Source organism: Homo sapiens, chromosome 19 (genome assembly GCF_000001405.40).
Source record: "Homo sapiens chromosome 19, GRCh38.p14 Primary Assembly".
Classification (NCBI taxonomy): Eukaryota; Metazoa; Chordata; class Mammalia; order Primates; family Hominidae; genus Homo; species Homo sapiens.
In genome coordinates this window covers 52,967,359-52,994,848 of record NC_000019.10, presented here as the reverse complement: position 1 = coordinate 52,994,848, position 27,490 = coordinate 52,967,359, and the positions used below count along the sequence as shown (strand labels likewise).

At 45.0% G+C, this 27,490-nt stretch overlaps 1 long non-coding RNA gene and 1 pseudogene across 2 annotated transcripts, besides 1 other annotated feature; one reads left to right on the top strand and one right to left on the bottom strand.

The window, feature by feature from the left end:
* Nucleotides 1-1,317: 1,317 nt before the first annotated feature.
* ZNF702P (zinc finger protein 702, pseudogene) lies at nucleotides 1,318-26,598 on the top strand (annotated as a pseudogene). The gene is made up of 4 exons (NR_003578.1): nucleotides 1,318-1,369; nucleotides 8,003-8,274; nucleotides 13,877-13,957; nucleotides 24,007-26,598. The product of NR_003578.1 is annotated as a zinc finger protein 702, pseudogene (transcript).
* Nucleotides 1,988-2,607: an enhancer, noted in NCBI's record as "H3K4me1 hESC enhancer chr19:53495495-53496114 (GRCh37/hg19 assembly coordinates)". NCBI's record gives its function as "activates a minimal SCP1, AML or CMV promoter by ChIP-STARR-seq in primed H9 embryonic stem cells {active_cell/tissue: H9 hESC(primed)}" and the evidence as "EXISTENCE:reporter gene assay evidence [ECO:0000049][PMID:30033119]".
* LOC105372453 (uncharacterized) lies at nucleotides 9,846-12,640 on the bottom strand. The gene is made up of 2 exons (XR_936062.3): nucleotides 12,554-12,640; nucleotides 9,846-10,089 (listed from the first exon to the last, which is right to left on the bottom strand). It is a non-coding gene; the product is annotated as an uncharacterized LOC105372453 (long non-coding RNA).
* Nucleotides 26,599-27,490: the final 892 nt, after the last annotated feature.

Here is a 27,490-nt window from a genome sequence, read left to right as displayed (position 1 = left end):
AACCCGGGAGGCGTAAGTTGCAGCAAGCCAAGAACGCGCCACTGCACAGCAGCTGGGGTGACAATACGAGACTCCGTCTCAAAAAAGAAAGAAAGAAAAAGGGTATTTCTTGGGACAGGCACGGTAACTCACGCCTGTAAACTCAGTACTTTGGGAGGCTGAGGCAGGCAGATAACTTAAAGTCAGGAGTTCGAGACCAGCCTGGCCAACACTGTTAAACCTCGTCTCTACCAAAAAATACAAAACTTAGCCGGGCATGGGGGCGCACGCCTGTAATGCCAGCTATTCTGGAGGTTGAGGCAGGAGAATCGCTTCAACCCAGGAGGCAGAGTGTGCAGTGAGCTGAGATCTCGCCACTGCACTGCAGCCTGGGCGACAGACAAATACTCTGTCTCAAAAAAAATAAATAAATAAATAAAAAAGAAAAAGAAAAGAAAAAAGTAAGTGAAAAAAGAAAGTAATAGAGCTCTTCCACAAATGTGCTGGGACAAGTAACTGGATATCCACATGGAAAAAAATAATGTTGGATCCCTGTCTCACACCATAAAAAATTTTATTTACGAAAGTTTAAAAACAAAACAAAACAAAAAACAGAGAGAGAGTGACGAGGAAGGGAGTCCTGCGGGAGGGGGTGTTACTTTATCGCCCAGGCTGGCCTGGAGCCCCAGGCTCAGCGATCCTCCCGCCGCTGCTTCCTGAGTAGCTGGGAACTCAGGATCCCACCCCGCGCCCTCCCACGCCCCCTTGTGCGCCCGCATCTCTGCTGTGTTTAACCAGCAGGTGGTGACCTCACTCCTCCCTGGCCTGAGCACTCCATCCCGCATCCCAGGCGGTGGCTCTAGGGAAGTCTCTGAAGCTGACACAGGGTGGACTCTCCCTCTTGAGTGAGTGGAGAATAGAAAGGGAGAGGATTTCTATTCTGTTCTGTGGTCGTCAGCATGAAATAATACGTTCCGCCCAGGCAGGGCTTTGCATTTCACATTCTGGTTTGCATTCCCCTTCCAGACAGTTCCAGGGCTTTTGAATCATGCCTCAGCTTTCCTGGCAGGTCTCGTCTCCAAAACCCAAAAACACGCCGAGGCTGAGAGACTCACAGATCCCGCCCCGCCCTCTGCCGGTTCTATAGGGGAAGGTCTCTCCGCCTCGCGCCCCGCCCCCTGCCGGTTCTATAGGGGAAGGTCTCTCCGCCTCGCGCCCCGCCCCCTGCCGGTTCTATAGGGGAAGGTCTCTCCGCCTCGCGCCCCGCCCCCACCTCGCCCAGGCCCCGCCCACCCCCTGCCATGTCCCGCCGAGACCTGGCTTCTGTCCCGAGCGCCCAGTTTAGCGTAAACCGGGAAGCGGATCGCGTGGAGTGAAAGTCACCGCAGCGGTGAGTTTTGCTCTGTGTTGTGTTATGTCTGCGCTCCGCAGGTCCCTGGGACTTCTGTCCCAGGGGACGTGGGGTCCCCACATACCTGGAAATTTCTACCATTCTTCCTTCGCCCAGAGCAAATTTTTTTTTTTTTTTTTTTTTTTTTTTGAGACGGAGTCTCGCTCTGTCGCCAGGCTGGAGTGCAGTGGCTCGGTCTTGGCTCACTGCAACCTCCGCCTCCTGGGTTCAAGCGATTCTCCTGCCTCAGCCTCCTGAGTAGCTGGGATTACAGGCATGCGCCACCAGGCCCGGCTAATCCCCAGAGCAAAATTTGACGTCCCGGTGAGAGTCCAGAAGTCGCTTCCTTTTGGGTTTAAAGTCGCCCTGAGGCTAGACCCGTCCCCGGTCTTTCTGCTATAGGGCAACGTATACACTTCGTATCTCGTAGTTTTCCTGTTTGTAACTATTTTCTGACTCCCTCCACCCCGTGCTTTTTAAAGTCCTCACCCGAGAGGTGGATTCCCACCCTGGGCGCCTCCCACCCTCACCCTCGTCGGTCCCTGGAGCGCAGCGCCGCCTCCCCCGTCCCGAGGAGGCCGCATCCTCTGCCTGGTCCTGGGATCCTGCAGACCCCACCCTTGTCTTAAGGAGCCGTCGCCCCCTAACTCCCTCCTCGTGCCGGGCCCTGCTGCTCGCCAGGTCTCCCCTCAGCAGTCGCCGCTTCCTCTGAGTCCGCGTTGGGGAGGTGCCCAGGGCTTGTCCTGTGACAAGGGGTGTTCTTGCCTGCCCAGCCCCAGCCCCTGGAAAATGCACTCCTCTGGGATGCAGGCGTCTTACTCAAAACTCTCCTGTGATTGTGTGGGCCAAAGGAATCAGGAGACCGAGCAAGGGCAGTAGAAAACTCGAGACAGAGAATAGAACAATGAGAAAGGCCCATAACAGATGGCAAGGTGGAGGATGGGTGAGGGATTTGCCAAGAGACAGCAAGAGTGAAAAGAAAAAGTTAAGATAGCAGGAGGAGAAAACTGGAGAAATGTGGAGAGAAGCTAGATGTACAGAGAGATGAAGGACAGCAAGGTAGGGAGAGGGGCAGCAAAGAGGGGGACCTGGCTCATCAGAGTGAGGGAGAGGAGGAGGGATTTGGAGCCAGGGCAGACAGAGCAGAGTGGTGCTGGTGGCAAGAGGGAGAACCACAGCAGGGAGGACACCTGGAGGTCGGGGGTGCCAGAGAGTGGGGACAGGGGGTTTAACAGGGAAGAGAGAGTTTAACAGGGAGAGCAGAGGAGGCGCAGAGGTGGGAGAAGAGGTGGTAATGTATGGAGATTGAGGACGATCGAAAGACTGGGAAGAAGAAGCAACAAGAGGTTAAGTAAGTTGTGAGGATGGAGCAGAAGAGGTGGAAGAGAAGAAATAGACCAAAGAAGGGGATGGTGCGCACTTGTAATCCCAACTACTCTGGAGGCTGAGGCAGGAGGATCACTTGAGCCCAGGAGATCCAGGCTGCAGTGAGCCGAGATATGCCACTGCACTCCAACCTGGTCAACAGAGTGAGACCCTGTCTCAAAAGAATAAAAGGGGTGGGGACTTTGGGTTCAGATGAGTGGGTGAGTTCATTGGATATGATTAGTGTGACATGTTGACTTCTGTGTATATAATCTAATAACTAAAAACTTGTTTAAATTATACAGATGAGATTGAGAATTTTAAAATTCCTATCTATGAGTCATGTACATTCTATAAATCTTGGCATCAGAGGTCAGCTTCCACTTGGAATCCCTATTCAGCCAGAGGGCAGTGACTTATTCAGTTGTGAGTCACTCTCTTCCCTTTTCCCAGGGTGGCATAGGAAGTGGGGCAGTGAAGTGGGGAGACAAAAGCACTTTCTGTTATTACATGTGACTTTTAATTTAATTAATTAAATAATATTTTGAAACAGTGTCTGGCTCTATCACCCAGGCTGGAGTGCAGTGGCGTGATCTCTAACTGTAGCCTCGACCTCCTGGGCTCAAGCTGTCCTCCTACCTCAGCCTACCAAGTAGTTGGGACCACAGGCGTGAGCCACCAAGCCCGGCTAGTTTTGTTTTTTTTTGTTTTTTTGTTTTTGTTTTTTGTAGAAATGGGGTTTTACTGTGTTTCCCAGGCTGGTCTCAAAATCCCGGGCTTAAATGATCCTCCTGTTTGGACTCCCAAAGTACTGGGATTACAGGGATGAGCCACCACGCTTCTCCTACATAGTACTTTTTTTTTTTTTCAGACGGAGTTTCGCTTTTGTTTCCCACCCTGGAGTGCAATGGCGCAATCTCGGCTCACCACAACATCTACTTCCCCGGTTCAAGCGATTCTTTTGCCTTAGTCTCCCAAGTAGCTGGGATTAAAGGCATGCACCACCATGCCCAGCTAATTTTGTATTTTTAGCAGAGACAGGGTTTCTCTATGTTAGGCTGGTCTTGAACTTCCGACCTCAATTGACCCACCCGCCTTGGCCTTCCAAAGTGCTGGCATTACAGGTGTGAGCTACCACACCCAGCCCATAATACTTTTTAAAAGGGACATCAAAGCCGGACGTGGTGGCTCATGACTGTAATTCCAGCACTTTGGGAGACCGAAGTGAGCGAATCACCTAAAGTCAGGAGTTCAAAAGCACCCTGGTCAACATGGTGAAACCCTGTCTCTACTAAAAATACAAAAGTTAGCCAGGCGTGGTGGCGTGCATCTGTAGTTCCAGTTACTTGGGAGGCTGAGGCATGAGAATCACTTGATCCTAGGAGGTAGAGGTTGCAGTGAGCCAAAATTGTGCCACTGCACTGCAGCCTGGGTGGCAGAGTGAGTCTCCATCTCAAAAAAGCAAACAAACAAAAAATAAAAAACAAAAGGAATATCAAAAGCGCTTTTTTTCTCATTGTGTAATAGATTTCCTCTTTTTTCTTTCTGGTTCTTCTCCATTTCTCTCTTTTTTCATTTTCAGATGAAGTTGCGCTCTTGTTGCCCAGGCTGGAGTGCAGTGGCGTGATCTCAGCTCACTGCAACCTTTGCCTCCCGGGTTCAAGCGATTCTCCTGCCTTAGCCCCCTGAGTAGCTGGGATTACAGGTGCCTGCCACCATACCCGGCTAATTTTTGTATATTTAGTAGAGATGGGGTTTCACCATGTTGGCCAGGCTGGTCTTGAACCCACTCAGGTGATCCACCCGCCTCGGCCTCCCAAAGTGCTGGGATTACAGGCGTGAGTCACCGCGCCCAGCTTCTTTTTTTTTTTTTTTTGAGATGTATTTTCACTCTTGTTGCTCAGGCTGGAGTGCAATGGCGAGATCTCAGCTCACTGCAACTGCTGTCTCCCGGGTTCAAGCAATTGTCCTGCCTCAGCCTCCTGAATAGCTGGGATTACAGGTGCCCACCACCACTACCAGGTAATTTTTTGTATTTTTAGTAGAGATGCGGTTTCACCATGTTGGCCAGGTTGGTCTTGAACTCGTGACCCTAGGTGAGCCACCCACCTTGACCTCTGAAAGTGCTGGGATTACAGGCCTGAGCCACCATGCCTGGCCACCCATGTATTCTTGATTGAAAAAATTTGCTTATGTCTTAGCTCTACGGCTGAACTTCTTTCACTGTTTTCACAGTCAATAGCTGTGTGTTCACACTTCTGCAGTTTATAAATGTTACTGTGATTTTCTTGTAAGGAAGAATTAAATGTTGGGAGTCAGTGGCATCAGAACGTTGCAAAAGAAGTTTCTTTAGCCCAGGTATATGAAAGATGCTTCTCTAATTTTCAAGGATAGGGGTGATAAAGACCAACCCTTCCCATTAGCTCTTTCAGGCCTCCATGTAAGAATTCAGACACACCTTCTCACTCATCTCAGACCTTCTCAGGGTAACTTGGTGAAAATGTCCCCGCTCTGAGCCCCAGTGAGCCTCCCTGTGACTGATAAACCTGTGTGGCAGTGAATCAATGCCCCCTATCACAGAAGAAACTGACTCAACTCCATCAGCTGGTAAAAGAGCAACTGGATTCAGGACATACAGAGGAGTCAGCCCCTGGAATTCACCAGTATTTGTGATCCCAAAAAAGTCATGAAAATGGTGACTGCTTCATGATTTGAGAGCTATTAATGCACAGATTGAACCGATGGGTGCACTACAGCAAGGTCTACCATTCCCAACAGCCATTCCTAGAGATTGGCCTCTCGTAGTAATAGATCTTAAAGACTGCTTTTATACTATACCCTTACATGAGAAAGATAAGCCTCGATTTTCCTTCTCTGTGCCCTCTATTAATCATAGAGAGCCTGTCTCTCATTATCAATGGAAAGTTTTACCCCAGGGCATGCTCAACACCTACGTTAAGTCAGCATTTTGTAGGAAGAGCATTAAAGGACTCTCAGAATATGTTTCCCACTGCCTACATCGTTCATTATATGGATGATATTCTTTTGGCCGCTCCTACAGTTCAAATATTACACCAGTTATTCAGAGAAATAAAGCAGGCCTTAACTGAATGGAATCTCAAAATAGCTCCTGAAAAGGTACAAAGAACCGCCCCATACCAGTACTTAGGTACTATTTTTACTGAAAGAAATGTTCAGCCTCAAAAAGTAGCCGTCCATAGGGACAGGTTACAAACTCTGAACGGTTTCCAACAATTATTAGGGGATATTAATTGGCTGTGCACGATGCTAGGTATTGCTACTTACCAACTCATACACCTTTATCAAACCCTCCAAGGAGATTCTTCATTAGATTCCCCTTGGCAACTTACTAAAGAGGCAGAAGCTGAGTTACAGCTTGTAGAGCAGATGCTTCAACACGACAGGCCTTTCGGCTGAAATCACAAAAGCCTTTGCTTTTTTTATTCTTCCTACCCCTCATTGTCCAACAGGACTTTTAGGCCAATTCATAGAGAAATCCATAATGGTAATAGAATGGCTCTTTTTATCCAATCAGACAGTGAAAACTTTGTAAGTTTATCTTTCTTTAATTATACAACTTATGACAATAGGCAGGCATAGATCAGGAATGCTTACAGGATATGATCCTAATAAAATTATTGTTCCTTTGGATTCCTGACAGCAGGCTGCAGCTTGGGAGATGTTGACTGGTTGGCAAATCACTCTCGCAGATTTTGTGGGAATAATAGGTAACCATTATCCATCAGACAAAATCTTGCAATTTTAGGCCATGCTCAGTGGCTCACGCCTGTAATCCCAGCACTTTGGGAGGCTGAGGCAGGCAGATCGCCTGAGGTCAGGAGTTCGAGACCAGCCTGAAAAACATGGTGAAACCCCATCTCTACTAAAAATTAAAAAATTAGCCTGGTGTGGTGGCGGGCACCTTTAATCCCAGCTACTTGGGATGCTGAGGCAGGAGAATTGCTTGAACCTGGGAGACAGAGGTTGCCGTGAGCCAAGATCGTGCCATTGCACTCCAGCCTGGGTGACAAAAGCAATCAAAAAAAAAGAATCTCGCAATTTTCTAAAGTTCACCCTTTCATCCTTCCTGTGATTACTCATCACAGGCCTATTTCAGGTGGACAGACCTATGTTACTGATGGTTCCTCCAAATTTCACGCAGCTGTTTCTGGACCTAAACACACTCAAACAATAAAGACCTCTGCAGTTTCAGCTCAATGTTCAGAATTAATCGCAGTTATTCTGGTTTTAGAGCTTCCAGATTTATCTCCTATTAATATTGTCTGTGATTCAGCCTATGTTGTGAATGTAGCCAGTCACATTGAGACTGCCACTATTAAGAGTACCCTAGAACAAGAACTGCTTAACTTGTTTCTAAGACTCCAATAAGCTATTTGCTCTCATGCTTCCCCTTTTCATATTTCTCATATTCACTCTCACACACAACTCCCTGGACTACTATCTCTAGGTAATGATAGAGCAGATAAACTGATCGGTTCTATATTTCAACAAGCCCAAGCTTCTCATGCATTACTGCATCAAAACAACTCTGCACTTACTCGTATGTTTCATCTGCCTTGCAGCCAAGCTTAAGCTATTGTGCAAGCCTGCCCCACTTGCCAGTATGTCCCTGGTGTTGCCCGTGTAGAAGGATGCACCCCACGAGGTTTGGCTCCAGATGAAATCTGACAGATGGATGTTACCAATATAGCCACCTTTGGCAAACTCAGCTATGTCCATGTGACTATAGACTCCTACTCCCATATGCTGCATGCCACATGCCAAACAGGGGAAATAGCTGGTCATGCCTGGTGACATTGTTGTCATTTGCCCATATAGGGGGGTCCCTAAACAATTGAAAACTGACAATGAACTTGCTTATGCTAGTGATGCCTTTCAAAATTTTTTAGTTATGGGCAGTCACCCATAAAACAGGAATTCCTTACAATCCTCGAGGGCAAGGCCTTACTGAGTGGGTACATCAAACGGTACAACGTATGTTGAAAAAACAAAAAGGGGGAATAGGAGACCAACTACCACCTCAGGCAAAATTACATTAGCCTTGCTTACTTTAAACTTTTTGACTCCTGGTACAGACGGTAAGACTAGCAGAACGACATTGGCAAGTGTTAGAGGAAAAGAGGCAAGTTTACCCAAAGGTGTTATGGAAATCTCCAGATGAGGGACAGTGGAAAGGCCCGGTGGAATTGCTGATGTGGGGACGAGAGTATGCTTGTGTTTTTACAGGAGATGGACAAACCATGTGGGTGCCCTCCAGGTGTGTGCGACCATGAAATGGGAGACTAGCAGGACCCACGTTGGCCAACCGTGGACCTGGTCCCTCCAGTAGGAGTCGTGAGCCAGCTGAATTTGAATGCAAAGATGGAGCAAGGGCCGACTGGAGTCACACTGACATCCACCCCCATAACATGGGGACAGATCAAGAAAACAAAGCAGGAAGCTGAGAAAATGCTGGAGCATCCATGTGCTTGGCCATGTTAGCAGTAGTGTCCTGTGAGGTATGTTTCCCCTGTGTAGAGGCCAAAACATACTGGGCATATGTTCCTAATCACCCTGTAGTGTGACCTGTACTCTGGAGTGACATTCCTCCTGAGGTATATCATGATCAGGGAGCGTGGGCTCTAGGGCCCCTAACTCCCCCTGATATAGAGCAATTAAACTCTCACAACAATAGCATCAGTTATACCGCCCCATTGGAGGGACTCCCTTTATGCATCACCAAAGATATGTCACTCAACCACAGTTGTCTTGCAGTCCAACCCCAGGCATGGTTGAGTCACCATGGAAAAGTTATGTATTTATTAGGCCTTAGCTCTATTAATATAACTAGTGTGCTCATCAACCACTCCCGCCCCCATCACCAAAATTGTATTGATTATACAGAATGGGCTCCCTTTGATAGTTCTCACCACCCCCCTCCTTGGACCCAATGTCTTGGTCCTTTAGCTAGACAACAGTCTATGCTAATGGGAGACATTGGTGACTGGGGACCCCGTGGTTAATTAGATGGAAGAGATGAGAATCAGACCTCATGGCACAAACTTCGCTGGCACTGGTGGCAGACCTTCAACATCTCTTCACTACATCACACTGGGATTCAATCCCAGTCGGCTGTGCGGCTTGCTTGGCACAGAGCAGGCTTTAGCTCGCCTTTGCCTCAGTGGCAGCATCAAGGAAAGAGGGGCCCAATTCAGGAGTCGATATGGAAAGCAGCACTCCTATTTACGAACGGCAGCATCTGGGTTGGGACACTCTCCAATACTAATAATGTTACTTAACACAGTTTTAATGTTACCTTTGTAAGGAATATTACCACTCAATTTACAGTTTGTGTTTTTCTAAGAAGGTAAATGTCATTCTTGGATATGGGTCCCTGTCAATCTGTCTGAACCTTGGGCTGCTGCCCTGGCTTTACACTTTGTGAAACTCCTTCTCACTCAGCTCACTCATCATGCTCCTAGAGTCTTGGGTATGGTAATTTTTGCTATTGTTTCCTTAGTCACACTAATAACCTCTGTTGTGGTGTCCTCAGTAGCACTGCACAGCTCTGTTTAAACAGCCCAATATATGGAAAATTGGATGTGCACAGCCGACCAGGCATGGATGCTTCAAAATCAAATTAATACTGAATTACAAACTTAGGTGGCAATGTTAAAGACTACTGTTTTGTGGTTAGGGGAGCAAATACAGAGTTTACAATGGCAACAGCAATTGCACTGTCATTTTAACCATACTCACATTTGTGTAGCCAATTTGGAATATAACCAAATCGAATATCCATGGGACCTTGTAAAAGCCCATATTCAGGGGGCTTTTACATCCAATGTCGCTTTTGATATCAGTGAAATACAAAGTAAAATTCTTGACTTGAATAAGCAGACTCAAGAGTTTCAACCTTCTTTAGAAACTTGGACAGAATTCCAGCAGGGTTTAGAAAGTCTCAATCCTTAGACCTACGTTAAACATCACCTTAATGTCTCTTTTAGACTTATAGGAACAATGTTATTATGTCTCTGTTTTCTGTTTATAGTCTGTAAGACTGGGTGGACCACCAACTGGCAATTGAAAGTTGCACAGCCTGGAATTACCTTTATTCAATTAATGCAAAAACATAAAGGGGGAGATGTTGGACACTGAAGGAATGAGGGTTGTCAACTCAGTATACCATTGGAGGCTGTATGAGCAAACAGCAAACTGTTCTTGTGAAAGCAGTTGGCAAGGTGACAACTGAATCTGCCACCAGAAGGAATGCTGAGGGCAGTCACATCCCAGGTGCCATGTTCCTTGAAATTATCTACAGAAACATCTGGAGCCTGTTGAACAAAAAAGGCAATCACTTACACCTGTGTTAAATTAAATAGTTGACTGACAGTTACCCCTTCCTCTCTGTTTACTCTACCCAATAAATATGAAGGGCTGTAGAAGCTCAGGGCTCTTGTTCTCTAGAAGCAAAGAGCCCCCGATCCCTTCTTGCAAACAGATACTTTTGTCTTTGACTCCATACTCCATTCCCGTGTTCGTCCTCCTCCATTCAGTCCCAATGTAACAGCAACAGTTTGAGACCAGCCTGGCCAACATGGTGAAACCTCATCTGGACTAAAATACAGGTTAGCTGGGTGTGGTGGCTGGTGCCTGTAATCCCAGCTACTCAGGAGGGTGAGGCAGGAGAATCGCTTGAACCCAGGAGGCAGAGGCTGCAGTGAGCTGAGATCATGTCACTGCACTCCAGCCTGGGTGACAGAGCAAGACTCCATCTCAAAAACATAAAATAAATAACTACTTCTCAAATAAGCTTTGGTAGAATTTTATGAGCTCATATCATTTTTTTTTTTGAGATGGAGTCTCATTCTTTTGCCCAGGCTGGAGTGCAATGGCGCGATCTCGGCTCACTGCAACCTCCACCTCTCAGGTTCAAGTGATTCTCCTGCCTTAGCCTCCCGAGTAGCTGGGACTACAGGCCCCCGCCACCATGCCAGGCTAATTTTTGTATTTTTAGTAGAGACAGGGTTTCACCATATTGGCCAGGCTGGTCTCAAACTCCTGATCTTGTGATCTGCCAACCTTGGCCTCCCAAAGTGCTGGGATTACAGGCGTGAGCCACCACACCCAACCTCACATCATTGTTTTTATCTATGTGTTCAAAATTTTCTCCTTTGACCCCACATTTCATTAGATGTATATATTTTTAACCATTTTAATATAGTTTCTCTATGAAATTTATTGTGTCCAGTTTACATTGAAGACTGCATGCTTTCTAGTCTGTACCACATATTGGAAACACTTTCTAGTACCTGATAAATGATTTTAGGTTGTTTCAATGCATATTTGATAAAGATGTCAAGAATCTATTTTCTTTCTTTCTTTTTTTTTTTTTTTTGAGATGGAGTTTCACTCTTGTTGCCCAGGCTGGAGTGCAATGGCATGATCTCAGCTCACCGCAACTTCCGCCTCCAGGGTACAAGTGGTTCTCCTGCCTCAGCCTCCCAAATAGTTGGGATTACAGGCATGCACCACCACACCCAGCTAATTTTGTAATTTTAGTAGAGACAGGGTTTCTCCATGTTGGTCAGGCTGGTCTCGAATTCCTGACCTTAGGTGATCCACCTGCCCTGGCCTCCCAAAGTGCTGGGATTTCAGGTATGAGCCACCACGCCTGACCCTAGGACCTATTTTCTTTATGCTAACATAAAAATTTAGTTCAAGTAGCCTGTTACTCTACTTTCTTTCCTTATGTCATCTGATAAAATGGTGAACTGTGACCTTCTAAGTAAACATTCTCCTCAAGTTCCTCTGGTCCATAATATTCTTTGCAGATGTTGAAGGATGGGCTGGATTGACTTGGAACCTTGTTTCAGCAGAGCCCACGTGTTCATGAAGAAAACATTTGCTCACAGCTTATTTCTACCACTGCCTCTCTTTCAGTGTTTTAAAAACCTATAGCTATGTGTTCACAATTGTTTTTATTTTGAATGTATTACTGTCATTTTTCTGGGAAAATATTTACATGTTTAGGATTCGTGCCATCAGAATTTTGGACATTGAAAGAGACATTTCTTTTGCTTGGGGATATAAAAGATGGTCCTGGAATATTTTTCCTTTTTTTGAAATGGAGTGTTACTCTGTCACCCATGCTTAAGTACAGTGGCACGATCTTGGCTCACAGCAACCTCTGCCTCTGAGGCCCAAGTGATCCCCCCCAGTCAGCCTGCCAAATAGCTGGGACCACAGATGCACACCACCATGTCTGGCTAATTTTCTGTACTTTCGTTAGAGATGGAGTTTCACCATGTTGCCAGGTTTGTCTCAAACTCCTGGGCTCAACTGACCCACTTGCTTCAGCCTTCCAAAGTGCTGGAATTACAGGAGTGAGCCACCACATGTGGCCAGTCCTGGAATTTTATAGAGGAAGATGACCAACGCAGCCTGTTGACCCTTCCTGGCCATCACATGAAAATCAGCGACTCCTCCTTCTTACAAAACTCAGAGCTTCTCAGGATAACTTGGTGAAACGTCCCCCGCTGTGAACCTCACTGAGCCCACCTGTAATATACAGGTGAGGGAGAAGACCAGAAAAGCTCAGAGTGACACTGACCCCTGAAATGATGGGCACAATGGAGTGTGTGGCTTTTCCTTTAGGACAGGGAGGTGCTTAGCTGTAATTTGAATTTTAAATGGATTTCAGTCCTCCAAAAATGTAAAAAACAAAAGCACAAGAAGGAAAAAATGAGATTAGAATCAAATCACCTTGAACCTTATCATCTCACCGCTTTAGCCCACCTGTATGACTCCACGTCCCCTGCAGGCCTCGCCCCTGAGCTCCACAATTCTGTGTCCAGTTGTCTCTTCAGCTCTCTGCTGGGACATCAAACAGGCATCTCCACCTTCATGTGTCAAGAAGTCATAAGTGACTTCTTGAACCCCCAAACACATTCCCTTGCAGTCCTACACCTCTCAGATGAGGGCGACAGTGTACTTCTGGGAGCTTAGCTGAAACTGACAGCATGTATTTTAAATATGGGAAATAAATTCCACTATTTGTGAGTGTTGTAACTTACAATGTAAAGAGAAAGTTGCATGTATACATGAAAGGAGTGAGGAAATACATCATTTCCAAAATTCTTTTGAGGTGTGGGAGAAAAATGTTTCAAGACCTCGTCCCTAGGGATCTTCACTTCCAGGACCTCTCTGAGGTCATCTCCTGCCTGTGTCCTCCTCACTCCCTCTGCTCCAGCCACGCACACCTCTTTCCTTTTTCTGGGACTGAGGTTGCTTTTGTCTCAGTGCCTTCACCTGAGATGTCACTCTGCCCAGGACTCTCTGGCCCCTCAGCTACAAGTGACAAGCAGTGTTTCATCCCTAAGTCTTTGTTCTGACATTGCTTTCTCTATGGAAACGTTTGTGATCACCCACAGTCCCCCATTTGACATGGCAGCTCCACCTTCACCCCCACCTCTGGTCCATGTTGCCTGTTCTTTGTGATTCTTTTTGCTCCTTCGCTTTTCACTGGATCCTGGTGGGAACAAGTCCCGAAGTGGAGAGCAGAGCCAGAAGGTGGGGCTGTGCTGGGCTGGCGCTGTCTGAGTGGAGCTCAACCCTGGCTTCACATTAGGGTTCTCAGGCATTTTGCAAATACATCTTTTAAGCTGTTTTATCAGAGATTGCTATTATCATAGGATTAAACCCACCCTCAATAATTCTTACAATGGTGCAGGTGATTCTCATCTGTGTCCAGCATTGAAAATCAAGGCAGTTTCCTCCATGTTGAGAGCTGAGATCAGCCTGTGATCCACAGGGAGCTGAGGGGGCTGTGCTCTGCATGGGGTTTGGTTAGGGCCAGATCTGTGCCCTGAAGGTCTGTGTCCTGCTGCAGTGTGTGTGTGGACTTTTCCAGGAGGGGAGCAAGATCTGAAAACGGGTCAAAATTACACTTGTAGGTCTTCCTGTGGGGCTTTGTTATCTTGGCATGATCTCTGGTGTGGTGGGCAGCAGAGGACCATCTTCCTACTGGGTGAGGTCTCCCCTGTGTGTGTGTTTTGTCACAGGAAAGGAGTGAGTGGTTTCTAAACATTAAATCTCTTATTTTTTTTTTTTCACAAACAGGATTGATTTCCAAAAACTCCTGTTACATGAGGAAGACACCAAGAAGAGCAAAGAAAAGGAGCCAGGGTGGCTCTTCCTCAGGTGAAGTGGATATTTCTCGGTGGATTAATCTGTCTCTTTCCTTTCTGAAATGCCAGGTATTGTAGTAGTCAGTCTCCTGTGAGTCTGAAGCATCCTGCCTCACACATTTGCTTGCATTCACTTATGCCTTTTCTCAGTCCCTGTCATCTTCACTTAAATTCCATCTCTTATAACCTAGTGACATGAGCTTAGGAAGAGGCTGCACTGGGCATGGTCCTGGAAGGGCTCACACCAGACATGGATGGAGATGGGGTGTGGGCTCCGTGGTGTCAGTGATGCTGGGCAGCAAGGATTGTTCAGGGGCCACATCTGGATGGACGTTTAGCTCTTTGTGGACCAGATCAGAGAAACTGTATATGAAAGTCATACATTAATGTGCACTGGCATCAGGTAAATTCTGGAAATGGAGACAAATTAGGGGAGATATTTTGTGTCTGATTTTGTAATGCATTTGAAGCTACACTAGTGACTCAATATGTCTCTGACTTGAAAGTTTTCTTTTAAGAGACAGGGTGTCACTCCTGGGCCCAGTCTGGAGTGCAATGGAACAATTCTGGCTTACAGCAGCCTCAAGTTTGTGGGCTCAAGTGATACCCACATTAGCCTCCTAAGGAGCCAGGATGACAGGCAGGTGCTACCACACCTGGCTAATCCCAATTTCAGAGAAGGTGAGAATGAGAGCTATGTACAGAATGATGGAGGGAAGCAGTAATGAAGACGAAGGGGGACCCTGGGTGCAGATGAGCGGTGAGTTGATTGGATGTGACGATGAAGTGATGACATGTTGTTTTCTCTGTTTATAAGGTAACAAATTTAAAATTTGTTTAAATTATACAGATGAGAATGAGAGTTGCCAAACTCCTGTGTCTAAGTGTGGTGACTTTTATAATGATGGCGTCAGAGGCAGCTTCCCTCTGCAACCCCTCTTCAGCCAGAGGACAGTGACTTATCAGTTGTGGCCCCAGTGAGCCTCCCTGTAACTTGGAGATGAGGGGCTACACCAGAAAAGCTCAACCCGAGTGACCCTGGCCCCTGAAATGATTGGCAAAATAGAGTGCGTGTCTGGGCGTGGCTTTTCTTCTGTGAGAAAGGAGTGTTCAGTTGTAACTAGAATTTTAAATAGGTGCAGTACCCCAAAAATAAAACAAAAAAAGGCAGAATGAAAGAAACAGAGGTGTAGATTCAGTTAGACACAGAGACCATCTTCGAGGCCTTTCTCTGTATGAGGACATCACAGCGAAATCTAAAGTGGGTCATGTCAGTTCCTGGCATATTTTTGAGTCTCACTCTGTCATCCAGGCTGGAGTGCAGTGGCACGATCTCAGTTCACTGCAACCTCCACCTCCTGGGTTCAAGCGATTCTCCTGCATCAGCCTCCCGAGTAGCTGGGATTACAGACAGCCACCAAGCCTGGCTACTTTTTGTATTTTTAGTAGAGATGGGATTTAACCATGTTGGCTAGGGTGGTCTGGAACTCCTGACCTCAAGTGATCTGCTCGCCTTGGCCTTCCAGACCGCTAGAGTGCTAGAGTCCTAGGATTACAGACATGAGCCACCGCACCCGACCCAATTTCTGTATTTTTAGTACAGACAGGGTTTCACCATGTTGGCCAGGCTGGTCTCATGCTTGTGACCTCAGGTCATCTGCCTGCCTTGGCCTCCCAATGTGCTAAGATTACAGGCATGGGCCACCATGCCCAGGCAGAAACGCCCTTCTGCATGGATTATTTTGAGTGTTTTGTGTCTCCCCTTTGGAGGATGCACAGTTCTCATCTTGGCCACAGGACAACTGCAGCACCTACTCTGGAGTTGTGATTTAGATGCTGAGGTGTCCTCAGGGAAGACTGAGGGGCTGGGGCAAGTGTGAGGATGGTCCCATATTTCTTCTGGAAATTTCAACTCTAATTGATCTGAACTTTCTGTAACTATTTATTTCAGTCAAATTAAAAGGAGAAGACCTCACTAAAGCCAGAAAAGCCCTACAGACCAGACCCTGTGTCCTCAGGCAGTGCCGAGGCATCTGCATTTTTGTCATCTGTGTCAACTGCCTCACTCCAGCTCCCGGGTCTCCACGCTCTGCACATCACCAGGGCCCAGTTTGGCCATGATGGGCAGGGGCTTTGCCACCAGCAGGTGATGCACTCAGAGTGAGGGTCCTGGATTCCCTTCAGGAAGGGTGGGGAGAAGGTCAGGGACCTGAGGGGCATGAAGGACACACTCCTACACAACTAGTTCTGTTCTGGAGCAGCTGGAGGCTCCGTGACTTCAGGAAAGATTCTTCCAAGGATCAGAGTGCAAACAGCACCGTGAACTGCAGCCTGAGGGCCACCTCCTCCTGCCAGGCCAATGGCGATGACTCTCTACTGGCTTTTCCTTGCCTGTCACAACACATGAGTGTGTGCGCACGTGCACACACACACACAGTCACACACTCACACACATAGTCACACACTCACACACACACACAGTCACACACACACACCCACACACACAGTCAGAAGGCAGCTGGGGAGCCGAGGATCAAAATGTTATAATGTAAATGTGGGGCTGGGTGTGGTGGCTCACGCCTGTAATCCCAGCACTTTGGGAGGCTAAGGCAGGTGGATGATGAAGTCAAGACTTTGACACCAGCCTGGTCAACATAGTGAAACCCTGTCTCTACTAAAAATACAAAAAAAAAAAAAATTAGCTGAGTGTGGTGGTATGCACCTGTAATCCCAGCTACTCAGGAGGCTGAGGCAGGAGAATCACATGAACCCAGAAGACAGAGGTTTCTTCTTCTGTCTTCTGGATGGAAGCATCATTGCACCCCATCCGGGGCAACAGTGCAAGACTCTGTCTCAAATAAAAATAAAAATAAAAATAAAAGATGAAAAATGATGGCCGGGAATGGTAGTTTATGCCTGTATTCCCAGCACTTTGGGAGGCCAAGGCGGGCAGATCACAAGGTCAAGAGATCAAGACCATTCTGACCAACATGGTGAAACCCTGTCTGTATTGAAAAAATGCAAAAACTAGCTGGGCTTGGTAGCACACGCCTGTAGCCGCAGCTACTCAAGAGGCTGAGGCAGGAGAATCGCTTGAACTTAGGAGGCAGAGGTTGCAGTGAGCTGAGATCGTGCCACTGTATTCCAGCCTGGCAACTTAGTGAGACTCCATCTCAACATAAATAAATAAGTTAATAAATAAATAAGCTATAATCTAAATGTGGAGCACAGATATTTTTCCCACAGAGGGAACGCTGGGTCCTGGGAAGGGATTTTGAGGGTTACAGCACTAGTCATGGCCTGGAGATTCAGGAATTGGAGGAAGGAAAAGCCGTATTTATCCTCACAGGATGCCTCTGTGCTCAGCAGTTAGTAGAATAAATGGGCTGAGCTATTGGAGTCACATTTAGAAAAAGGGGTTTTTCTCTCCACCCAGCACACACCGTCACCTACCCTATGCACAGTCCTTCCTTTCCCGTTGTCTTCTCTAGAATGACAAAGTTGATGCTTCCCCAGGTGGGCGTCTGAGGGAGGGGAGTGGTTTCTTTGCCTGTCCTTGATCCCCTCCCTCAAGTCTTCCACCTTCCTGTCCGCTGTTCTGTTCTGACACTCATTGCCTGCAATTCTATCGGTTTGCACCATCCCAAGACCCAACTAAGACCCAAGGATTTGAGTCTGGGAATATTTAAGCCAATGTCATTGCCAAGTCAGAAGTCTTAGACCCCAGGAATTTTTCTTCATTGAGAGTCCGGGCAGCAAGGAAGCCTCTCCTCTTTCTGCGGAGTTTAGGGTCTTTAATTGCCAATGTAAGTTTGCTCAGGGTCAGGCAGTGACCCGTTGGATCAGCCAGATGTGTTTCTGAGTGAACATACACTTGTCCTTCTTACCGGTTGGGCAAGCAGAGTGGTCTGCATGAGGGACTCTGGGCTGTCCCGCTCAGCTGCTCCTGCTCAGCTCCCTCATCACGATGAAGACCATTCCAAGGTCAAATAGGACCCTGGCACACATGAGACCCCAGAGAAGACATACTAGTATCACTCAGTCATTCTCATTCATTCACTGACTCAGTAGCTATGGAGCCTGTGCTATAAGCCAGGGGGCACAAATAGAGGAGCTGTCTGTACCAGGGATCAAAATGGTAAACCAGCAGACTATCCTTCCCTGCTTTCTCCAGGTTATTTTTCAGTTTTATGCTGTGTTGTTGAAGTTGGTCTTGATCTCCTGGGCTCAAGAGGTCCTCTTTGGCCTCCTGAGTAGCTGGGATTATAGGCCCCAACCCCCATACCTAATTATTGGTTTTTATTTTTTAAATTTTAGCGTATGTGTGTCCTTAGGGCTAATATGAGTCTTCTGTGGACAACATGTAGTTGGTTCCTGTTGATTCAGCCAGTCTTTGCCTCCTGAATGCAGAGTTAAATATTTACATTTTAATAATTACTGATGGAGAAGACCTTACCGTTGCGTTTTTGTTACATATTATCTGTATTTCTTGTAGGTTTTTATTGTTGTTCTTCATTTCTCATTTCCTACTTTTTGTGTTTAATTACTTTTTTTCTGTAGACATGCTTTGACTCTCTTCTTATTTACTTTTTTTTGTGGTGAAGTCTCACTCTGTCACTCGGGCTACAGTGCAGTGGTGCGATCTTTCTAACCGTAGCCTCCACCTCCCGGGCTCAAACGATTCTTGTGTCCCAGCTTCTGAGTAGCTGTGACTACAGGCGCTCACCACCACGCCCAGCTAATTTTTGTGTTTTTAGTAGAGACGGGGTTTCATCACATTAGCCAGGATGTTCTCGAACTCCTGATCTCAAGTGATCCACCTGTCTCGGTTTCCCAAAGTACTGGCATTACAGGCGTGAGCCACCGTGCCCAGCCATTATTATTATTTTAAATAGTTTTGTCTTTTAGTTTTTAGTAAACATATAAGTGGCTTAAGCATGATTCCAATGTGAACATAACAACCACGTTAGTGTCCATTCCTTTCAATATGAAGAACCGAAGTGTGTTGTATAGATATTTAGGGGGAGGTTATTGTTGAAGGTGTGTTAAACATCTTGAAGTTATAGCATAATAACAAAACTTGAAATTTCCATTACCTGGCCAGGTGCAGTGGCTCACCCCTGTAATCTCAGCACATTGGGAGGCCAAGGTGGGCAAATCACCTGAAGTCAGGAGTTCAACACCAGCCTGGCTAACATGGCAAAACTCTGTCTCTACTGAAAATTCGAAGTGCAGTGGGCACCTGTAATCCCAGCTACTCAAGAGGCTGAAATCTTTGAATTCAAGAGGCAAAGATTGCAGGAGCCGAAACGGCACCATTACACTCCAGCCTGGGCGACAGAGCAAGACTCCGTCTCAAAAAAACAAAGAAAGAAACAAACAAAAATTTCCATAACCTGCAAAGACTACTTTCTCCACTAGAACTCTTTGTTATTTATGTCAGAATTATTTCTGTATATGTTGCATTTTCATTAACATATATGTACAGTGTTTTTTTTGTGCTTTTTTCTGCTAAATAATTGGAAAAAAAAGTTGAGTTATAAAGAAAAGATACACTTATACAGGTTTCTGTATCTGTCTATTTACTTACTTATTTATTTATTTATTTATTTATTTATTTCTGAGACAAAGTTTTGCTCCTGTCGCCCAGGCTGAAGTGCAATGACACAATCTCAGCTCACTGCAACCTCCGCCTCCCAGTTTCAAGTGATTCTTTTGCCACAGCCCCCCGAGTAGCTGGGATTACAGGCATGCACCATCATGCCCGGCTAATTTTGTATTTTTAGTAGAAACAAGGTTTCTCCTTGTTGGTCAAGCTGGTCTCGAACTCCCAAACTCAGGTGATCCACCTGCCTTGGCCTGCCAAAGTGCTGAGATTACGGGTGTGAACCAACTTTGATGGATGCGCGGCAACATAAGCTTATGTACAAGGCATTTGAGATTGAGGAATGGAAAATTACTGAGGCACTGTGTGTATGTTGTTTGTGTATGAGACTGTCACTCCTTGACCCTGAAATCAGGACAAGGAGTAGAATGTGTGATAAGAAACGCTGAAACAGTCTCCTGTGAATGTGGTCTGAGTGCTTTTACAAGGCCATAGTGCCTCACGACCCGACTGCAAAGAGCTCCATGGTGTATGTTTTTTGTTTGTCTGAAGTGTAGTTTAAACAAGCCCTTTTTTTTTTTTTTTTTTTTTTGAGACGGAGTCTCGCTCTGTCGCCCAGGCTGGAGTGCAGTGGTGCGATCTCGGCTCACTGCAAGCTCTGCCTCCCGGGTTCACACCATTCTCCTGCCTCAGCCTCCTGAGTAGCTGTGACTTCAGGCGCCCGCCACCACGCCCGGCTAATTTTTTTGTATTTTTAGTAGAGACGGGGTCTCACTGTGTTATCCAGGATGGTCTCGATCTCCTGACCTCGTGATCCGCCCGCCTCGGCCTCCCAAAGTGCTGGGATTACAGGCGTGAGCCACCGCGACCGGTCTAAACAAGCCCTTTCAATAAATACTTGGAGGACGGATTCTGGGGCAGCACTCTCTCAGAAGGTTTGCTCCCCGCCCCACTCAGCTGGAATTATCTGAGTACTTCATTCTTGGCGTTCACTGCAAGCTATAAGCTGCACCACTGCACTTGGCCTATCTGTCCTTTTATTTACCTTCACTGGAGAACTTTATATATATTTGTGGGTTGGAGTTACTCTTTAGCCTTCTTTCATTTCTTTTTCTTTCTTTCTTTCTTTCTTTTTTTTATTTCAAGATGGAGTCTCGGTCTGTCGCCCAGCCTGGAGCGTAGTGATGCGATCTTGGCTCACTGCAACCTCCACCTCCTGATTTTAAGGGATTCTCCTGCCTCAGCCTCCCAAGTAGCTGGGACTACAGGTGCGTGTCACCACACCCGGCTAATTTTTTGTATTTTTTTAGTAAAGACATGGTTTCACCGTGTTAGGCAGGATGGTCTCAATTTCCTGACCTCGTGATCCTCCCACCTCAGCCTCCCAAAGTGCTGGGATTACAGGCGCGAGCCACCATGCCCTGCTTGCCTTAAGGTTTTGAAAACTTGTTAGTGGTATTAGATGGCTTCAAGTATTGCAAGTTTTACAGTACAGACTGTTAACTTCCTTTGTTTAATAAGATTTGTAAGTCTTCTGTGAGGCTGATGATGAGATGCTCCTTTTCCTGTCTCAGGCATTTCACTGTCCTGTCAAAAATAGCTTAGACTGGTCGGCCCTGGTGTCTAATGCTTCTAACCCCAGCACTTTGGGAGGCCAAGGTGGGTGGATCGCTTGAGGTCAGGAGTTTGAGACCAGCCTGGCCAACATAGTGAAATGCCATCTCTACTAAAAATACAACAGATAGCTGGGCACAGTGGCAAGTGCCTGTTATCCCAAGTACTCAGGAGGCTGAGATAGGAGAATCACTTGAACCCCGGAGGCAGAGGTTGCAGTGGGCTGAGACTGTGCCACTGCACTCCAGCTTGGGCGTCAGAGTGATACTCCAGGCTGAGGCGGGAGAATCTCTTGAGGCAGGAGAATCATTGTGCCACTACATTGCAGCCTGGCTGATAGAGCATGACTGTCTCAAAAACAAACAAAAAAAGAAATAGCTTAAACTGGGAGGCTTCAGACACAGAAATTTATTTCTCATGAATTTGGAAAGTGGGAAATCCAAGAGCAAGGTGCCAGCCAAATTGGTTCCTGCTGAGAGCATTCTTCATGGTTTAGCCCAGCCATCTTCCTGCCATGTCCTGACATGGGGGAAAGAGGAACAGGCAATGAGCTCTTTAATGTCTCTTTATAAATGCACTTTTAGTATTCACAGGTAGTCAACACCCATGACTAAATTCTCTCCAAGTCTGCATCTGCAGGAACATCCTGTTAGAGAATACCACATCTACCAAAGCTTATTTGAGAAGTAGTTGAGTAGTTTGAGTCTCATCCTGTTGCCCAGGCTGGAGTGCAGTGGCATGATCTCAGCTCACTGACACCTCCACCTCCTGGATTCAAACGATTCCTGCCTCAGCCTCCCAAGTAGCTGGGATTACAGGCACCTTCCGCCATGCCCAGCTAATTTTTTTGTATTTTTAGTAGAGATGGGGTTTCAGCACGTTGGCCAGGCTGGTCTCGAACTCCTGACCTCGTGATCTGCCTGCCTCAGCCTCCCAAAGTGCTGGGATTACAGGCATGCACCACCACGCCTGGCAATTAGTCAATTCTTATTCGTTTAAATGCTGTGTACTTTTTTTTTTCTTTTTTTTTTTTTGTGAGAGACAGTCTCACTCTGTCACCCAGGCTGGAGTGCAGTGGCGCGATCTCTGCTCACTGCAAGCTCCACCTCCCGGGTCCACGCCATTCTCTTGCCTCAGCCTCCTGAGTAGCTGGGACTACAGGCATGTGCCACCACGCCCGGCTAACGTTTTGTATTTTTAGTAGAGACGGGGTTTCACCGTGTTAACCAGGTCTCGATCTCCTGACCTCGTGATCTGCCCGCATCGGCCTCCCAAAGTGCTGGGATTACAGGCATGAGCCACTGCGCCTGGCAATGCTGTGTATTTTCTTGACCTCATATATCAGAAGGTAGTGATCTTAACATGTAATTCAGTTCTTATATTGTGTGCTGGTGGTAAGTAGAAGTTTTGGCTTTTTTCTTAAGTGGAAATTGTTTACAATTCTGCAGGCTGTATAAATGTACATATTATTTTCTTGTTTTATCGTTGGTTACAATATTTTGTTAATTGAATTTTATGACTTTACATGTGAGTATTCAGTATGTGGCATGCAATATAACTGACACACTGCACTCATTAATGTCACAAAGTGCCACTGGGTGCAGTGGCTTATGCCCGTAATCCCAAATGGCCAACATGGTGAAATCCCATCTCTACTAAAAATACAAAAATTAGCCGGGCATGCTGGTGCTTGCCTGTAATCCAAGGTATTCAGGAGGCTGAGGCAAGACACTCACTGGAACCCAGGAGGTAAAGGTTGCAGTGAGCCAAGATCGTGCCATTGCACTCCAGCCTGGGTGACAGAGCAAGACTCCATCTCAAAAATATAAAAATAATAAACATTTTTTTAAAAAGTCACAAAGTGCCTGTTCCACATGGATATAGGAAATTTTTCACAGTTATTCAGAAAAATATGGTATTCACATTTTCTTTTTTGGGGGATGGAGTATCACTCTGTCGCCCAGGGTGGAGTGCAGTGGCACGATTTCAGCTTACCACAATCTTTGCCTCTCGGATTCAAGCAATTCTTCTGCCTCAGCCTCTCAGGTATCTGGGATTACAGGTGCCCACCACCATGCCTGGCTACCGGCTACTTTTTGTATTGAGGTAATCCACCTGCCTCTGCCTCCCAAACAAGTACTGGAGTTACAGGTGTGAGCCACCATGCCCTGCTTTTTTTTTTTTTTTTGAGATGGAGTCTCACTTTGTCATCCAGGCTGGAGTGCAGTGGTGCGATATTGACTCACTGCAGCCTTTGCCTCTTGGTGATTCTTGTGTCTCAGCCTCTCATGTAGTGGGATTACAGGCATGGGCCGCCATGCCTGGCTAATTTTTGTATTCTTTTCTTATCTTCTCAGTGCTGTGATTGTTTGACAATACAGAATTTCCATTGATTTTGATTATCCTTACAAGAGCTTGTTGTGGATTATTTACCAATATAGTACGTTATCCGGTCCTTTAGCATTTATTTGTATACTCTATGCTATAAATATGAAGAATATATATTTTTTCCTTCTTTGATGTGACAGTAATATGCTTTTTGCAAACTGTGATACATTTTAGGGTCACAGTGGAAAAACACTCCTTACTTTAGGCTTACACATGTTTGTGCCCTGTCAGTGTTTCGTCATGATATTGGGAATAGGCTTCTGTAGAAATGATTTAAAGGACTTGTAATCGCCCTTTATTTATTAAAGAACCTTACTCCTTTTGTGTTCTTAAACTTTGAAAATCATGTTTGGGAATTTCAAAATAAATATTGTTTTTTGTGTCCTAGTTACATATTTCAGTATTATTTACCATCTGCACTTAATTGGAAACCTATTGTTGTTTATATTTTGTAGCTATCTCTTCCAAATGCATGACAAGGAAGTTCTCATCAAGAAGGCAAGGCAATACAGAAGTGTTCCACACAGGGACATTGCAAAGACAAGCAAGTCATCACACTGGAGATTTTTCCTTCCAGGAAATTGAGAAAGATTTTCAGGACTTTGAGTTTCAGTGGCAAGAAGATGAAAGAAATGGCCATGAAGCACTCATGACAGAGATAAAAAAGTTGACAGGTAATACAGACTGATATGATCAAAGGCATGCTGGAAACAAACCTATTAAAGATCAGCTTGGATCAAGCTTTCATTCACATCTGCCTGAACTGCATATATTGCAGAGCAAAGGGAAAATTGATAGTCAAGATGAGAAGTCTGTCAATGATGCTTCCTCAGTTTCAGCATCCCAAAGAATTTCTTGTATTCCTAAAACCCATATTTCTAATAAGTATGGGAATAATTTCCTCCAGGAAGCACACATGAGAGAAAAATCTTTCCAATGTAATGAGAGTGGCAAAGCCTTTAATTGTAGCTCACTGTTAAAAAAATGTCAGATAATCCATTTAGGAGAGAAAAAATATAAATGTGATATATGTGGCAAGGTCTTTAATCAGAAGCGATACCTTGCATACCATCATAGATGTCACACTGGTGAGAAACCTTACAAGTGTAATCAGTGTGGCAAGACCTTCAGTTACAAGTCATCCCTTGTAATTCACAAGGCAATTCATACTGGAGAGAAACCTCACAAGTGTAATGAATGTGGCAAGGTTTTTAATCAAAAAGCATATCTTGCAAGTCATCATAGACTTCATACTGGAGAGAAACCTTACAAATGTGAAGAATGTGACAAAGTTTTTAGTCGCTAATCACACCTTGAAAGACATAGGAGAATTCATACTGGAGAGAAACCGTACAAATGTAAGGTTTGTGACAAGGCTTTCAGACGTGATTCACACCTGGCACAACATATTGTAATTCACACTGGAGAGAAACCTTACAAGTGTAATGAGTGTGGCAAGACCTTTGTTCAAAATTCATCTCTTGTAATGCATAAGGTCATTCATACTGGAGAGAAATGTTACAAGTGTAATGAATGTGGCAAGGTTTTTAATCACAAATCAAACCTTGCATGTCATCATAGACTTCATACTGGAGAGAAACCTTACAAGTGTAATGAATGTGGCAAGGTTTTTAATTGAAAATCAAACCTTGAACATCATCATAGAGTTCATATCGGAGAAAAACCTTACAAATGTGAAGAATGTGACAAAGTTTTCAATTTCAATTCACGCCTTGAAATACATAGGAGAGTTCATACTGGAGAGAAACCATAGAAATGTAAGGTTTGTGACAAGGCATTCGGGTGTGATTCACACCTGGCACAACATACTAGAATTCACACTGGAGAGAAACCGTGCAAGTGTGATGAGTGTGACAGAGCCTTCAGTGGTCAGTCAACACTTATTCACCATCAAGCAATCCATGTCATAGGGAAACTTTACTAATGTAATGATTGTCACAAAGTCCTCAGTAATGCTACAACCATTGCAAATTATTGGAGAATGCATAATGAAGTGAGAACTTACAAGTGTTATAAATGTGGCAAATTTTTCAGACTTCGTTCATACCTTGCAGTTTATCAGCGAACTCATACTGGAGAGAAACCTTACAAATGTGATGATTGTGGCAAGGTCTTCAGTCAAGCTTCATCTTATGCAAAACACAGGTGAATTCATACAAGAAAGAAACCTCACAAGGGTGATGATTGTGTCAAAGCCTTTATTTCAGGTTCATGCCTCATTACACATCAGAGAATCCATACTAGACAGAGATCTTACAAAAGTCATATGTGTGGCAAGATCTTTAGTCTGAGGTCACTCCTTGCAGGACATCAGGAAATTCATTTTTGAGGTAATAATTTCAAATGCAATGAGTATAGCAAACCATCAAGCACAATTGATGTTAGATTCAAATCAGCATTGAGTTCAGTTTGAGTTGACTTAACATTGAGTTCAAGTATTTGTTGAGATTAAAGTGTTTATGTTAAGAGGATTAGGCCAGGTGCGGTGGCTCACACCTGTAATCCCAGCACTTTGGGAGGCCAAGACAGGTAGATCACTTGAGATCAGGAGTTTGAGAGCAGCCTGGCCAACAGAGGTGAGCACCTTTCCCAGTCTGTTTTTTGTTTCTTCAACAAAAACTGATAGAGATTTTTATGGGTATTGTGTTGAATCAAAATCACATTGGGTTATGTAATCATTTAACAGTATTAATTTTTCCAAAACATCAATATGGGTTATATCTTTATATATGTTTTTAATCATTTTGATCAATGTTTGTAGATTTCAATGTATGAATTTCTCACTTCTTTCCATTTATTCCTATTTCTTACTTTAAGTTCTCTAGCAAATGGAAGTGTTTTTAAATTTTCATTTAAAATTGTTTATTGTTAATGTATGAAAATTCAACGAATTTTTGGTGCTGATATTGTATTGTGCAAATCTACTGATGTGTTTATTAGTCACAGTAGTATTTTGGTTGACTCTTTGTGATTTTCTACACAGAAGATCATGTCATCTACAAAAAATATAATTTTACTTTTTCTGATTTTGAGGCATTTCATTTCTTTTGCTAGTTCATTGCTCTGGCTAGGACTTCCAGTATTTATTGAATAGAAAAAGTGAGAACGTTCTTGCATCATGTGAGATCCTACGGGAAAAGGATTCTATTTTCCCTGCTTGGTTATCTCCACATTGGTCATTTCATCAATGGTCTTTCTATTGGTGAGGTAAATTTCCTTCTCCATCTATTTTGTTTAAGATTTCTATGATGATCAGATGCTGAATTTTGTGAAATGATTTTTCTCCATCTGTTGAGATGATGTGGTTTTCATCTTTCATTCTGTTCAAGTGGTATATCACATTGATTTGCTTGAATATGTTGAACCATCCTTGCATGCCAGAAGTAAATGGCACTTGCATATCTACAATCCTTTTATATATCCTCTTGAATACAGTTTTCTAGTACAAGTGGTCTTCAAGAAGCTCATGGAAAAATACATATTATGGAAAAATTGTGCATGAATTTCACAGTTTTTGCACCAAAATAAACTGATACAAATCTGTTATAACATGTCTGAACAGGCTCTAGTTTGAGGCACTGAGAAGGATAAGACATGAGTTTGAAAAGAGACTGTATCAAAGGAATACAAATTCTGCTAAAATTGAAACAAGAAGAAACATAAAATTTATGATGAGAACAGTTGCAGTGTCTCAGGTCTGTAATTCCAGTAATTTCAGAGGCCAAGACAGGTGGGTCACGTGAGCCCAGGCATTCAGGACCAGCCTGGGCAACATGGTGAAAACCCCTTCTATACAAAAAATACAGAAATTCACTGGGCAGGGTGGCACCTGACTGCAGGGCCAGCTACTGTGGAGTCTGTAGCATGAGGATGGCATGAGCCTGGGAGGTCGAGGCTGCAGTGAGCTGTGATCTTGCC